Source organism: Homo sapiens, chromosome 11 (genome assembly GCF_000001405.40).
Source record: "Homo sapiens chromosome 11, GRCh38.p14 Primary Assembly".
Lineage (NCBI taxonomy): Eukaryota > Metazoa > Chordata > Mammalia > Primates > Hominidae > Homo > Homo sapiens.
The window spans coordinates 130,206,366-130,222,459 of record NC_000011.10 but is presented as its reverse complement, the minus strand read 5'-3'; the positions used below and the strand labels follow the sequence as shown (position 1 = coordinate 130,222,459).

The 16,094-nt window shown below is 53.5% G+C and overlaps 1 protein-coding gene across 1 annotated transcript in view, besides 1 other annotated feature; it reads right to left on the bottom strand.

Annotated features, from left to right (window-relative positions):
- Window positions 12,098–16,094, bottom strand: part of ST14 (ST14 transmembrane serine protease matriptase) — a 50,581-nt gene continuing 46,584 nt past the window's right edge. Inside the window, exons 17-19 of the mRNA NM_021978.4 lie at window positions 13,776–14,050; window positions 12,882–13,018; window positions 12,098–12,798 (exon numbers count right to left, since the gene is read on the bottom strand). Of these exons, the coding sequence (NP_068813.1) occupies window positions 12,637–12,798; window positions 12,882–13,018; window positions 13,776–14,050 (574 nt within the window). The 3' untranslated portion in view covers window positions 12,098–12,636. The remainder of the gene's footprint in view (window positions 12,799–12,881; window positions 13,019–13,775; window positions 14,051–16,094) is intronic.
- Window positions 12,351–12,850: an enhancer, noted in NCBI's record as "H3K27ac-H3K4me1 hESC enhancer chr11:130079505-130080004 (GRCh37/hg19 assembly coordinates)". NCBI's record gives its function as "activates a minimal SCP1, AML or CMV promoter by ChIP-STARR-seq in naive H9 embryonic stem cells {active_cell/tissue: H9 hESC(naive)}" and the evidence as "EXISTENCE:reporter gene assay evidence [ECO:0000049][PMID:30033119]".

Sequence of the window (16,094 nt, the reverse complement as noted above, 5' to 3'; positions counted from 1 at the left end):
AAAGAGTGGAAGAAAACCTTGTAAACTAGACTAGCACCAGGTCAGAGAAGGCCTGAAGAACTGCAGCTATATTTGGTAGGAAATCGAGAATCGTCTCACATTTTCGAGCACAGAAACATCAGAGCCCTCTCTAGAAATATTAAAAGCAGATTAAAGGGATGCATACGGACTTAACTGAGACCCCTGAGTTACAACAGAACTTCGGGTAAGAACCCAGAAGAAGGGGATGGGAGTAGGGCTGGAGAGGAAGGGATGTGTGTTCGTGACATCGGGGCTGACGGAGACGTGGTAGGTGGGGAGAGTGGGGAGAGGCGGACCTGATCTTCAGTCCAGGTGTCCTCTGTGCACCGTAGAGAATAGCTGCTGCATTCTAAGCTGTAGCAACACCAAGTGTGTGGCCTTAAACGCTTAGGCAACCTCCCTTTTCTGTTGTTGGTTTCTTTGAGAGGGAACTGTCTGAGAGAAAATGGAGCAAGAATTAGGCCAAGTTCAAGAGTTGGGCTTCAGAATTAGGCTAAAGGAGAGATTCCCCGCGTCGCTAATCCCAGCACTTTGGGAGGCTGAGGTGGGTGGATCACCTGAGGTCAGGACTTTGAGACCAGCCTGGCCAACGTGGTAAAACCCCAACTTTACTAAAAGTACAAAAAAATAGCCGGGCGTGGTGGCGGGCGCCTGTAATCCCACCTACTGGGGAGGCTGAGGCAGGAGAATCGCATGAACCCAGGAGGCGGAGGTTCCAGTGATCCGAGATTGCGCCACTGCACTCCAGCCTGGGCAACAAGAGCAAAACTCTGGCTCAAAAAAAGATGGCTTTTCCTGGACAAAGTCGAAGCTTGTTTCCCCAACACAAGCCAAGGACCCTGTGGCTGTGAGCTAGAGGCAGGTGCTTGCGGCACTTATAGATTTTAATTTTTAAAAGAGCTCATTCTCCATATCCAAATTGTTGGCATCTGTGGGAATTTAAAATGCCATTTAAAAGACCTGTACCTGTCAGATCCCGAGACACGTCTTTCCCACAGAGAGTCTGGCTGACTACACAGCTACTCCTGCGTGTAGGACGCAGAATGCCTATGCGTGCAGATGTGCTTCACGGGCATGTGCCATGTGTTCATTCAGTAGATATGAAATGGCTTTCATAAGAACGTTTAACTGCCCTGGAGAAGGCCTGGGAAGGGGATGAGATTTAAACAGGGGCATTGTGCATTTGCATTGATTCATCCGATAGTACCCGATATGTGCCAGTACGAACCCCGCCCCCGCCACTTGCCTATGAGCATTCCAGTCCCCTACATAGATACAGGCTGTCACACACGGCAGGGATTTCCTTGTGGTCTCAAGAGAAACACTGGCACAGACTAGCTTTGGAGGAAGAGTTAGTTCTAACTTTACGTTGTGCTTTGTAAGTACGCCAATACATGCACATGTATCTACACAGACACACAGACGTGTACAACTTATCTCAATGGAGAGTAGGGAAAACTGAAGGAGAGGCCTCCCCAGTTGAGTAAGAGAGAACCTTTGGACCCCTAGTCCTCCCCATGTCATCGGAATGCTCTGTAACCACCAGTCATGCCCACCCACATGCCTTCTCCCAGACCCTGGTGGGATTGGACAGTAGGGCCCTGTGCCTCCACCCATGAGGTACATGACAACAAGAGCCCTTCCACACACACAAATCGCCGTGCTCCCCGTGGAGCCTGCCGTGGCAGCCAGCCCCTGACTGGCCTCTGTTAACAGGCATCAGGTGTGGAAGGAATTGCCCCAATTTGCTGATTGTCTCTCCACCTGGACCGTTCCAGGCACAGTCATCGGTTTGCCCCACCTCTCGTGTGCATCAGCGCACTTTCCAGTTCCTCTTCCAGAGGAAAGCGTAGGTAGGGAGTGGGGCAGAGGGATGAGCAGAGCCAAGAGCAGGGAAACCACCAAGCAGCTCGGCTCTGCCCAGCAGCCCTCAGTCTCCAGGGGAACCAGCTGCCACCCACACAGCATGCAGCGCCCAAGCTCCAGAACCTCGGAGTGTGGGCCTCGTCCCTGGTTCTCCCCACACGGCATCCCAAGAGGCCACCTGTAGGTGCGGGGAGTGAGCAGCTCTGTAACCTGTGCTCAGAGACACTAAGGTTCGGTGCATGCTTCCCAGAAGTTGTCCACGGTGCCGTTACAAGAATAGCCAGTGTCCAAAACAGAGGAGGCTCACGCATCTTAAGAAGGATGAAAAGCATCTGGGTGGCCATGGCAGGTTCCAGGTCATGTGGATCCAGAGTGACAGGAACATGTGGTAAGAAACACGCTTACCTTTCCAGAGCCAAAAACTCATCCTTCAGTGGCTGAGTGCTGATGAAATGTTTACAAACCACTCAGCCCGTACCCTCTGCCTCTGGAAGGTTCCCTCCTTCCGCCTGTGGTAGACGTGCAGGCAGGAGGGCTCTCGGTGCGTGGGGATGCGAGGCAGGAGCTTGCCATGCGCGTCCCTTCCCCTCCCTGCACCTCGCTGCCCTCCAGGCGTTATTCGGAGGATCCCAGCGGTACTCCTGGTTCCTAGAACAAGGCCTGGCAAACAGACGCCAGTGAGTACCCTCTAGATGAACACATGGGGAGACAGAAGGGTGAAGCTACTGGCCGGGTGCAGTGGCTCACGCCTGTAATCCCAGCACTTTGGGAGGCCAAGGCGGGTGGATCACGAGGTCAGGAGATCGAGACCATCCTGGCTAACACGGTGAAACCCCGTCTCTACTAAAAGTACAAAAAATCAGCCGGGCGTGGTGGCGGGCGCCTGTAGTCCCAGCTACTCGGGAGGCTGAGGCAGGAGAATGGCGTGAACCCGGGAGGCGGAGCTTGTAGTGAGCCAAGATCGCGCCACTGCACTCCAGCCTGGGTGACAGAGAGAGACTCTGTCTCAAAAAAAAAAAAAAAAAAAAAAAAAAAGTGAAGCTACTGGAAATGGGTCCACAGGAATGCAAGTCTGGTAATCAGGTTACAGTTAAACACCCCAAGTACGATATGAGCCTCAATATACTTCCTCCCTCCCTTGGGCATTTTCGGAAATGAAGGAACGCCAATTATGAACTGTTCACAGAGAAGTCCAGCCCTTCACGGCTCGGGGTGCTCCTTGGTGCCCCCGTACCGAAAGTGGTGCGTGCCAGCTCTGCAGGACCTTAGCAAGCCCCACCCCAAGTCTTCATCCACTTCCCTAGGCCTTAATATGAACATAGCAGGTTAGCAGCATTATTTAACCTTGGAGAAGAAAAGCTTTATAGATGTGAAGGCTTCCAGGTACATTAAATAAGAAATCCAAGCTCTGGCAGAGGTGATCTGAGGAGCATCTCTATACCCCTGAGAAGACAGCAAAGAGAGGACTTGGTTCCCCATAGTAGTGACCATGTTCCCAAATTCCCTTGGCCTCCCATAAACCTGCTCCAACCCGGGAATGTGCCAGGGACTCCTGTGTGGCTCCAGCCCTTACCACTCTCCAAGGTCACAGAAGTGAGGCCTGCTCCATGTGTGCAGAGATGGACCGTTTTGGTCAAGTGTTCAGGAAACGCTTGTGGGACTTTAGGTGTCTGCCAGCCTCTCCAAGACACAGTGAGTTCCCCACTGTATGCCCAAAACACCCGGGGTGAGGGTCAGGGCACAGGAAGGTAGCCCGGCCAGCCCCTGGAACGCCACCTTCACAGCGGTGTCCAAATCTGAGGCCTCCAGGCCTGATGTTTCTACTCATGGAAACACAGGTGTTCGACGTCTATGCTTCACCAAGACGCACCATAAACCGTGTGGGCAGGGGCTTGTGGAGAGAGGTGGGCTGCCCAAAGCTGCCTTCTGAACCACACATCCATCCTGCCCTGCTGCCCAGCTGGCCCCGCTGAAACACACTGTGCGTTCCCTGCTGCCCTCACTGCAGTGAGTCCCAGGGCGGACACTGAACCAGGCCCAAATCATCTTTACTGAACCCAAACTTACAAAACATTATTTTAAAAACTAAACCAGGCTGGGCGTGGTGGCTCACGCCTGTAATCTCAGCACTTTGGGAGGCCAAGGCGGGTGGATCACCTGAGGTCAGGAGTTTGAGACCAGCCTGGCCAACATGGCGAAACCCTATCTCTCATAAAAATACAAAAATTAGCCAGGCATGGTAGCAGGCACCTGTGATCCCAGCTACTCGAGAGGCTGAGGTGAGAGAATCACTTGAACTGGGGAGGCAGAGGTTGCATTGAGTCAAGATCACGCCATTGCACTCCAGCCTGGGCAACAGAGCAAGACTCCATCTCAGAAAAGAAAAAAAAAAAATTAAATGTCTTTTGTTTAAAATAAATACCCAACAAAATAGTTCAAGCTGTGAACCACTCATTCGTTTTTCAGAAGCCTTTGAATTAGAACAAAATGGAATTATATTTTCAGCTTGGGTCTTGCTACATGTCCCCAGGTCCCAGTGAAAATCCTTGTTACTGATGATGCAGGAATATTTCTGTGCCCCCCACACAGGTCCAGTTTGTGGGTCTTCTTTGGGACTGGAAAATCTGGGCACAGGGGCCGGCCCTGCAGAATCTCTCTCCAGCCCTTCCCCTCTAGGCTCCAGTCCGAGGCCCGCCCCATCACCCCTGGCCTCTGTTCCCTTTGCTTAAGCTTCCCGCAAGGCCAAGCAGCCTTCAGCAGAACTGAACTGCTCAGGGAGGAAGACGAGGGTCACAGGCTGATCCTCCTGAATCAGAGGACAGAACATGTTGTTCTAGTGCCCACGGCCAAGACCTCAAGGAAACATATTCTCCCTCCAGTCCACACTGCCCCAGGCAGAGGAGTAAGACGAAGCAGATGGTTTGGCCCCTTAGAGAGGGAAATGCCCAGGGGCTGCTGGGGGTGGCCAAGGAAAGAAAGGACATGGGGAAGATTTTGAAATGCTAATGGAGCCGGGTTGGAGTCCTGCCAGCGAAAGTCTGTTTTGGCCTTTTCCACGTGTGCCTAAGCCAGTGAGTTTATGACCTGGCGAGAGAGGTCCTGGCTCCAGCACCTAAAGCCCCAGGTGGAGCATGCATTGGCTGCAGGAGGCTGTGCGGGTGGACCCAGTGGCCCAGGTGCACCCTTCTCTTCCCCTACTGAGGAACCGTGAGCAGCAGGCTCTCTATCTGCACGGCCACAGCGTCCTCTCCTATAACTGGGAATGACAGAACCCACTCCCGAGGACTGTGATGACGCTGAAGTGAGAGGTGAAGTGAGAGGATGCATCCACGCCGCCAGAGTCCCTGACACTTCTTTGACATACAGATTGGAGCAGTCACTCTTCCAGGGCCTCTCCAGCTCTCACATCCAGCGCAGGGGACAGGAAGAGGCCGCTTGGCATCCCACTTGGCAAGGTCAGGGGCACAAAGACGGGGTGGAAGCACAGTGGGGTCCCAGGCTGGACGGGCCTGTCCGTGCTCCCACATTAGGACGGATTAAAATGCCTCGTGGGCATCTGGCGTAGGTCACCTTGAATTTCAGGTTCTTTCCAACCGTGAGGTTCCAGTTCTGAAAGGATGTCCCTCAGGCAGCTGCTTTCCTGGGAAACAGCAACTCCACTGAGCCTTGGAGGGTCATAAAGGTCCCCGCACACACCCCAGAAGGCCCCAGAGAGGCACCTTTCCTGTGCTCGGCTCAGGCTGGTCGGCCAGACCCCGTGACCTGACCCTGCCAGGAATGTGACCTGTCTGCCCGCCCAGACGTGCCCAGGACCTTGTTTCCCAAGTGTCTGCCTCATCTGGGGGCCCGATGCCCCCAGCCTACACCGGGTGCCCTTTCCGCAGTCACAGATGCCTGATTTGTTGAATTAATGAGCGGCTGCTTCTCTCATCCTTTCCCTTGGCTCATTCAAGTAAGCTTGTTACCCATTCTTTTGCAACAGAGTCACATGTGTCAAACAGATTTCATTTTTTTCCTAGTTTATGCCTATACATTTCTTCTGTCCTATTTGTCTTCATTGGGATTTGGATGGGAATTGGATTATGAGCTGCAAAGAGGTGTCAGATACCCAGTGTATTCTGGGAGCTGTCCTCCGAATGTCCTTCTGCATGAAGACTGAGATCTTCTCCACCCTTCCTGGGTGGGCCTGGTCCCTCGACCCCCTCCCTCACACTGCAACCTCAGAGCTCTGTGGAAAAAGCACACAGGCTGAGGGTGGTAGAATTTCCCTGTTGAGCTCTTTCCCTATTGAGTTAAACGAGACCATATGAAGTTCCAGAGGGTCTGGCGCAGAGGCTGGGTTATTCTTGATCCAGGGGTGTGGGCAGGGGAACAGTGATAACCTCCAAGGTGAAAGCAGCGCGTCGGGGAGGGAGCCTGCAGCCAAGCCAAGGGCAAGGGAGAGCTAAGTTTCCATCCTAGGAAAACACACACATCCCTCCCGCTGGAAGGTGCTGAGACTATGGAATAAACAGACAATGGAGCTGAGTCCCACCCATACCCGCAAGCAGCTCTGGACAGTGGCTTTTTAGGAAACGATGGGAGTGAGTGGAAAGGGTAGAATGAACACATGGTCTCCGAGTTGCAGGCACAGGACAGTGGAACTTGGGAGGAGACATTCCTCTGGAGGAGAAAAGGAGAGAAATAGGAAAAGGATAGTCAAGCCCGCTGAAATCCTAAGAGGATCTCTTTATCAAAATATAGTGTCCTCGCTGTAGGCATATCAGGTCACAGAAGCAATTCGTGTCATATACGCATCAGCTTGCAGGGCAGGGAACAGCCTGCATGGGAAGGTGTCTATACACAGGCTTCTCCTTGGTGGCCAGCCAAGCCCTGGCGTAGAGCCAGGCTAGCCCCTCTGCAGGCACCTCCTGGCTGTGGGTTGCACCTGTGCCCCCTACACCCCTAATGGATGCCCACCCTGATGTCTTCCCCCATTGTCAACGCTGTGCTGGTCATCTCATGGGACAGCAGCTTGAACCATCTTCTAGGCAGTCCCAAGATATGAAACCAGGGGAGAAATACTCCCATTCCTTCTTTGGGGTTTGGTCTCATCATTCTTAGTGGTGTTTGGGGCCTTTCCAAGTTCCGTTCCTGATTGTCACCCTGAGGAATGGCCCGGTGGCCTGGCCTGAGATAGCTGTTGTCCTCACCTCCTTCAACCAACACTCTACTCCCTTCCCTGTCCCCATCAACCATCCTCACTGAGCAAATTGAGGTGGCATCGTGGCTAATGAAAATCACCTTCCGTCTGGCTGAGTGGACTCCAGGAACCCAAGAAGCAATGCCATCGAGGGTGGCAATGCAGATGGAAGACAAGTGCATGACCAGCCTAGAGCAAACCCCTAGCCTGGAAAATGGGTCTTCTGGCAGGAACATCTCACAACCTGAAGGTCTCTGGAAGGTTTGTCAGGATTCCCAAAAGAAAGAGGACTCATTGGAGGACAATTCCCAAATGCTGATCCACACATATTTGCTGCTGAGACAGTTTCAAGTGTTTGCACAAAAATTAAAGCATTTAAAATACTTTTTTTTCCTTTTTTGAGACAGGGTCTCACTGTTTGCCCAGGCTGGAGTGCAGGAGTGGCGCAATCTCAGCTCCCTGCAGCCTCAACCTCCTGGGTTCAGGTGATTCTCCCACCTCAGTCTCCCAAGTGGCTGGGATTACAGGAGCCCGCCACCATGCCTGGCTAATTTTTTGCATTTTTACCGGACAGGTAAAAATGTCTATGTTGCCCAGGTCTGGTCTCGAACTTCTAGACTCAAACAATCCACCTGCCTCGGCCTCGCAGAGTGCTGGTATTACAGGCATGAGCCACCGTGCCTGGCAATACAAGACTGTCTTTTATACCAACAGTATGACCTACCTGCAGTTAGCATGTTAAGATCTCCTTTCTTTATGAAATGCTGGTGACAGTATGCTACTGATATATAGTACACGGTGTGGATGTGTATGATAGAGCACAGTGCTGATATGTATGTGATAGATAGATGTATATATGCGTGATATAGATGGATATGATAGAGCACAGTGCTGGCTCTGGAGCCAAATCACTGACATTCAATACCATATTTCCTGAGTGTGGGGCCTTTGGGCAGGTTATTCAGATTTTTGGTGCCTTGGTGTTCTATCTATAAAGTGGGAAAGACCATGGGGCTGTGTGAGGTTGAAATGAAATACGACTCAGAAAGCCCTTAGAGCACTCGGGAGGCGATCTTCATAAGCGCTGGATGTGCTGGACCGTGTTTCTCCTTTCAGCTCACTGCTCCAAGAAATTCAAGTATCTGAGAATCACTGGCTGAAGATCCAATTTTCCTCACCTGTGATTGCAGGTGAGCAACACACACAAATACACACATGCACGCACACACACCACACACACACGCACATACACTATGCACACACACACCCCTAACGTGCAGTTGCAGGTGGGCAACACATGCACGCATGTGCACACACACACCACACATACACACATGCACGCACATACATGCATGCACGCACACGTGCACACACGCGCCTACACCCACATACACACATACATGCACACACATACACACATACATGCACACACATACACACACACGCCTCAAACCTGCAAAACTGATGAAAAGTGAAAAGCAATGTTTGGTCACAGGCACCTAACTTTGGGTCTGTAGGCCCCTCAGGTGCTCCTGGGGAGGGAGACGGCGTCTGGTGTAGCAGCCAGGTCATGTTCTTGTGGCACATTCTAATCCGTCTATTCCAGGACTGCACAATCCCCAACACACACACACACGCGCACACACACGCAAGCACACGCACGCACGTACACACCCCTCTGCCCCCAGAATACCTGTGTACATGTGTATGGACAGACATGCCCACGTGTGGTAAATGGCCCTGCACAGTTGTCTCTGGGGCCGGTTGTGTCTCATGGGATAAAGTTCCACTTAGAGATGGCACCACCTTGGTGGCCATCCACAGGTCACCACTCTGTCCTCAATCTCAAAAGCCATCTTTAGAGCCTGCCCTGAGAATGTGTCCTCCAGGCCCCAATGCCAGAGAGCCAGCAGGTCCTGGCTACAGACTGGAGGTGGGGGCACTAAAGGGGCTGAAGGGCTGGCCAGGAAAGGCTTCAGGCTGGGGGCCTCTTCCATGCTCACCCTGAGCCAGGCACCGATTTCACTACCTGAAAGGTGACTGGGAAGCAGCAGAAGGCAGCCGCCAACAACAGACGGCCCCGGACACCCCGCCCCACCCGTGAGCGCCCACGCCCTGGAACGGCGCAACATCGCCACCGTGTGGCCGTCGACCTGAACAACAGCTTCTCAGCCCCTGGGGTCCGTAGCGCTAGGTCTCTGGAGACCTCCAAACTGGGCCCAGGATTTTAAACATTTCCTTTTCCATAAAGTCCTTCCTAATCCAAATTTCACTGTGATTCCTGCAGACTCTAGGTCTGAGTAGGACTCGCCATGGCTGCAATAAGCAGGAGTCGGGTTAAATTTTCATTAAATTTACATGGTTATGATTCCTAGCTAAAACAATGGCGATACAAGGTAGTTTAGGGGGATCAGAGAGTTGGATCATCTTGAGATCTCAGCAACGAAAGCAGCTAGTCAGTAGGGGAAAGCCTCTGCGGGGCTGCACTGAGCTTGTGGGAGCGCAGCAGCAGCCCTGCACTCTTCCCCTGTGAGGCCAGCTTGCTGTGCAGGGCACCTGTGCACGTGGGGCCCTCAGCCTGGCCCTCCCACCTCCTCCTCTAACCCTTCAGACCTCTGCTGTGGCCTTCACCTGGGTGAAGGAAAGGCTGGTCAGCACAGACCTACGCAGGCCTCTGGCCTCTCCCAGCTGCTGCAGGTCTGGACTGCCATCCTCAGCAAGGAGGAATGGCTCTAGCCTGCTGGTATTCCCACCCTGTCAGCTCAGGCTCTTGGACCAGAGACTTCTGCCTTCGTGAGAGCTATCGGCGCGGGGCCTGCGTGATGTGTCTGGCCTCTGGCGAGTTAGGGAGTCTCAGCCTGATCTTCTGAACTCCAGCCAGAAGTAACACAGGATTTGGCCCCATAATCTTTTTAAAGGCACTGACACATGATTGATTTTCCAGGGCTCAAATGCTTCTCGACATTCAGGCAGGCTTCCAGGATCCCCCAAGGACCAAGGATGTCCTGCAAACTGCGGCTCTGGGCATCTGATGGAGCACCTGGTGATGCTGCTGCTCCGTGGCACTTGGAATGGCATGACCCACTGCTAAAACGGTGCTCTCCAACCTCACAGGAACGCTTCTTAGAGCACAGGCCACTGGCCCCACCCAGCGGGCCCACCAGTTTCTGTTCAGGAGGTCTGGATGAAGCATGAGACTCTGCACCTATGAGTCCCAGGAGATCTCGATATTCCTGCCCAGGGACCTCCCGAGAGAAACACTGCCACAGACGACACGCCTTGTCCCACTCAGACCTCCCGCAGAGAGTCCCGGAAAGGGTGGGATGACCCTGAAGGCTAGCCATCTGTGTTTTCACCTGCTCCCCGGGTGGGAATCTGACCGGGGGGAGTGAGCAGTCCAGAACACTGTCAAGCCACAATGGAGCTGAGGGTGGTGCAGTGGCACGGGCTGGGCTGGCCTCCCTGAATCCCACTGCATGGATGACCATGTCTACACCCCGGCCAAGCCCCGGCTGCCAGGCTCACGCACACTTAGGAACCAGACCACACACAGGCCTCGTGAAACCTCTCCATTTAACATAGACCATTCCCTCAGCGCCTGCACTGGGCACTTCTGTCCGATGCGATCAGGTGGGAATGACCATGTCAGGGCAGAAAAGGAATGACATTTACAACACGCACAGGAGTCCTTCAGCATCATCCTCATTCTACTTCCCACGCCTTGGTAAGAACAGATGTTCTTTCCCTCCCCAGGGAGGAAAATGCGACAGATTCTCGCACAGGTTCTAGGCAACACTCCCTCCCTCAAAGAGGTAAAACACTCAGGCTAAAATGAAAGAGGCTCTGCAAACCCCACCTCCCCCGAGAAGCCTTGCAGTGTTGCTCCAATCAGACTATATTTCCTCCTTTTTGTTTCCATAACTCATGGCAGGCAAAAAACCATTCATTGAACAAACACATATCAGCATGTTCTAAGACAAGCCTGAGCTGGGGACATAGCGGTGAGCCAAGGCTACCTTCTGCCCTCCTGACACTGGCCATGTCATTTCTCTCCCCAGGTCCTCTTCCCTGCCCCAAGCCCATGTGGCGCATCAGCATACAAGAAGCCCTCAAATGTTCCCCCAAAAGCTCCCTAAGCCTTCCCCAGATTGTTGACATTGTCCCTTCAGGCCACCAAGCAAGAAGAGAGGAAATATTTTAAATTATTAAGTAAAAATCTAGGGAGGCTGGGGGTGGTGGCTCAGCACGAGCCCAACACGGGAAGATGACTTGAGCCCAGGAGTTCGAGACCAGCCTGGGAAACATAGTGAGACCCTGTCTGTACAAAAAAAAAAAAACAACTTAGCCAGGTGTGGTGGTGGGCACCTCTAGTCCCAGCTGCTCAGGAGGCTGAGGCAGGAGGATAGCTTGAGCCCAGGAGACTGAGGCTGCAATGAACTGTGATCATGTCACTGCATTCCAGCCTGGGTGACAGAGCAAGACCCTGACTCAAAAAAAAAAAAAAAAGAAAAAAGAAAAAATCAAGGGGGATGGCACGGGAGGTGTGGGTGCCCTTCAGCCAGGCAGCACCCCTCCTCCAAGGCCTTGGGACCCATCTGCTCAGCCTTCACTAGAGAGACAGCCAGGTCTTCATGCCCAGACTCACATCTGTCCCCGTGAGTGTGTGCGCTCACAGGGCCACCTCCCCACCAAACACGAAGCCACGCTTCCGCCCATCTTCCTCTGACAAAGCTCCTCCCTCTCCTAGGTTGGACCCAGGCCTGGGCACCAGTGCACCCCCCAACATTCGTCTCCCCACCTCGCCAACCCGCATTTCCCTCCTACCAGGGCACCAGGCCCCTGGTCTTGGAAGCTACAGGTCAGAGCAAAACCAGCCCCTTGCTGGCCTAGAGAAGGCAACGGCACTGTGGGCCCCACCCAGCCTGACTCCAGGGTCTGTGCTGAGGGGAATGTACATCCAATTTCTTGCAAATCGAGTAGGAAAAAGGAGGAAGGAGGGCGCAACTCCAGTAGGAAAAGAAACTTACCTAAAAAGAAATAAAATGTTTTACTCATTTACACAAATACACACACTGAAGTCCACCCTGGGAGCTGGTAAAACAATTTCAGTCTCAGACCCGTCTGTTTTCCAGGGTCCTCCGAGCCTGGGCTTCCTCAAGAGCGTGGCCCAAGGGCCCCACAGCCCAGATCCGGCAGCCCCACCACCTTCACTGAGGAGGCCCCGAAGCTCCGTTCCCGCTGCTCCTTAGAGACAGGGGAGGCAGATATGCACAAACGCGCCTCGGCCCAGCTTGGGGCTGGCGGGGGAGGCTGTGTCTTCAAACCTTTGCCCCCAGTTGGGTCAGTAGAACCACCAGTGTCCTCCCCTTCTACCTCCCAGCTCCACTTTGGAGGCTGAGGAAGCGAGAGGTTTTCTAGGCAGATTTGGAGCCCTGGAGATTGAGTTCACAGTGTATGTTCTGGGGGCGCTGGTGCAGTCAGCGGTCCAGTCTCCAGCCTGCAGGCGTGCACACTGGGGTGGACGATGGGTGGCCCCGCAGGTGTACACATTTGGGTGGCCCCGGCCCCTATACCCCAGTGTTCTCTTTGATCCAGTCCCGAAACAGAGGGAGCCTTGTGTACACGCCTGGCTTGTTCCTCTGAGCGCAGCCGTCTCCCCAGCTCACCACACCGGCCTGGAAGATCCGCCCATCCGCCTCCACGCTGGACAGGGGTCCCCCGGAATCACCCTGGGCGGAGACAAGCCCTGCCGTGAGTCCCCAGTCCCGCCTCTCCCGGGGCCCACCTGCCGCCCTCCTGCCCCGGGGGCCACCTGGCAGGAGTCCACGCCGCCGCTGAGGAAGCCCACGCACATCATGCGCGGCGTGATCTGCTGCGGCAGGAGGTTCTCGCAGGTGGTCTGGTTGATGACGCGGATCTCACCCTTTTGCAGGATCAGCGCGCCAGTGCCTGGGGAGAGGGCAGGACGGGGCTGAGAGCCGGGCTGCTTCGAGGGCAGCGTCATTCGAGACGCTCCCCACGGGTCATTGGACTAGAAAACTCTGGAACAGCCCAGATGCCCGGGGCTGACAAACGGGTAATCCGCGTCTACTCAGTGGGCTCTGGCAATAGCAGCCACCTAGAGGAAGCAGGGGCATGCTGAGATCTGCCAGGCGAGTTGAGAGGGAACAGACGCCGTGGCAAGCAGGGGTGAGGGAACAAGAAGCAGAGAGGCGGAGGGAAGGCGCCGCAAATGCCCGCGGGGTTCTGTGAGGGCATTGGAGCTGTAAGTCCTGTTCGTTTTCTTTCCTCTCCAAAGACGACAAATGTTCAGCATATGCTGTACAGTGGATTCTTTCAATCTAGCATTTGCCAACTAACGGCCTGCTTCCCTTCATACCCACCCCCTCACGTGCCTTAAGCACCACTGGGCTTAAGGTGTTGCTATCTTCATTACGCGCATGCACAAACAGGATCAGAGCTTAAGCAACTCGCTCAAGGTCACTCAGCTAGTTAGGGGCAAAGCCAACCTTCAATCCTGAGCCCAGGCTGCAAATCCCATGCCCCTTTTACTAAAGGCCTCCATTCCGCCCTGGACAGCCTCATTCTGCCAGGCAGAGGGAGACTGGAGCAGCCCCCCGCCCCGAGACCGGACACGCAGAGGAAACACGGCCTTGGAGAAAGGCCCCAGGCCCTCTGCGGAGCCCTAGGTCAGCCCGAAGCTTACCTCCATACTGGGTGTGTCCCCAGCCCGTGACCCAGATGGCCTTGCCGGCAGGGAAGACATGGGAGGCGTCCGGCAGGCAGATGGGCCGCACCATGGAGCTGTACTCTGCCGGTTTCTCCAGCTCCAGCAGCGCGATGTCATAGTCGAAGGTGAAGTCATTGAAGAAGGGGTGGGAGATGATGCGCTTGAGCCTGCGCTCCTGCACCCCAGGGGCGCTGCGCTGGCTCTGGTCGTGCAAGCCCAGGAAGGCCGTCCACTGCGTGGGGTCTGAGTACCTGGTAGGGAGAGCCGCTATGAGACTGCGCGGTCACTCGGGTCTGTGCACACGGCCTCGCGGCCCCGCGCGTTCCCAGAGGATTCCGCATGGATGAGGCACAGCTGCTGCTACGAGAAGACGATGGGGCCGGCTCTTACTTGGTCTTGACCCTAAGCTAGAAACTACTAAGTGCCTCCAGCTGCAGTATGAAATCCCTCTTGAACTCTTTACCCCCCCTTCCTTGAATACATTTTTAATCTGATGACCAAAAATTAGTTATCTTACGAACCTGATCTTTCACAGGAGGAATAACAGAACAATCAATCCAAATAATTTATTTATTTATTTATTTATTGAGACTGAGTCTCGCTCTGTCACCCAGACTGGAGTGCGGTGGTGGCATGATCTCGGCTCACTGCAATCTCCACCTCCCGAGTTCAAGCGATTATCCTGCCTCAGCCTCTTGAGTAGCTGGGATTACAAGTGCACACCACCACACCCAGCTAATTTTTGTATTTTTAATAGAGACGGGATTTCATCATGGTGGTCAGGCTGGTCTCGATCTCCTGACCTTGTGATCCGCCCGCCTCGGCCTCCCAAAGCGCTGGGATTACAGGCGTGAGCCACCACGCCCAGCCCAAATAAATTTTTAATGTAGTGCTATATAACCTAAGACCAAAATGAATTGAAAAATATGTTGTGTTGTGTCTAAGTTTGTTGCTGGCTATGGAATAGGTTTAGCAATTCAGAAGCTTTTCCACGTGCACTGCAGAGCCGGAGCCCACCCCACTGGGGGGAAAGGGAGGCACAGATGTGGAATGAGATCAGAGATATCAGGAAAGGTTCATGGTTTTTATTTTATTTTATTATTATTTTTTGAGACGAAGTCTCACTCTGTCACCCAGGCTGGAGTACAGAGGTGTGATCTCAGTTCACTGTAACCTGCACCTACCAGGTTCAAGCGATTCTCCTGCCTCAGCCTCCCGAGTAGCTGGGACTACAGGCATGTGCAGCCACGCCTGGCTAATTTTTGTATTTTTAGTGGAAACGGGGTTTCGCCATGTTAGCCAAGCTGGTCTCAAACTCCTGACCTCAAACGACCAGCCCACCTTGGCCTCCCAAAGTGCTGGAATTACAGGCATAAGCCACCGTGCCCGCTGGCTCACAATTCTTAAAAACTGGCCTAAAACCAATACTGTCTCCAGCAGCACCCAGAACTTAGTGTCTAAATATCCTTCTCTATTGAAAGGAACCAGGGCTCCTTGGAAAAACAGCTGATTTCGGATCTGGGGCTTAATGGGAAGCATAAAGCAACCTGGAACATTTTGTTTCTGCAGGAAGCGATCGAGCACTCAAACAGCAATGCGGCCTCACAAAGCTGGCTAAAGTTAGGACAATAAGAACCCCGAAATAAGTGGTGACAGGGTGACACTACTACACAGGTGGAATAATAAAAAAGGGTGGGGTAATCCATCAGTCCACCCTGAGTCTAAAAAGTAATTTCAAAAGAATTTATACAGGGAAAAGGAAAGCTATTCTTTACAGAGAAAAAGCAGCCCCTGGCCGGGCATGGTGGCTCACTCCTGTAATCCAAGCACTTTGGGAGGCCGAGGTGGGTGGATCGCCTGAGGTTAGGAGTTCAAGACCAGCCTGGCCAGCATGGTGAAACCCCGCCTCTACCAAAAACACAAAAATTAGCCAGGTGTGGTGGCCGGTGCCTGTAATCCCAGCTACTCAGGAGGCTGAGGCAGGAGAATTGCTTGAACCCAGGAGGCAGAGGTTGCAGTGAGCCAAGATCGCACCACTGAACTCCAGCCTGGGCAACACAGTGAGACCCCACCTCAAAAAAGAAAAAAAAAAAGAAAAGAAAAGAGAAAGAGAAAGAAAGAAAGAGTGAGCAGCCCCTAAATGCTGAAGAAACGGTACAATAAGGAACCACATTCGCGCCTGCCACAATAATAATCAACAATGTGAGAATCACCAACGGACGCTGAGACGCCGGGCAAAGTACGGCTGGAGAACGAGACACTCACGCTGATTCAAAGAATCACCTGCAGTGTAGT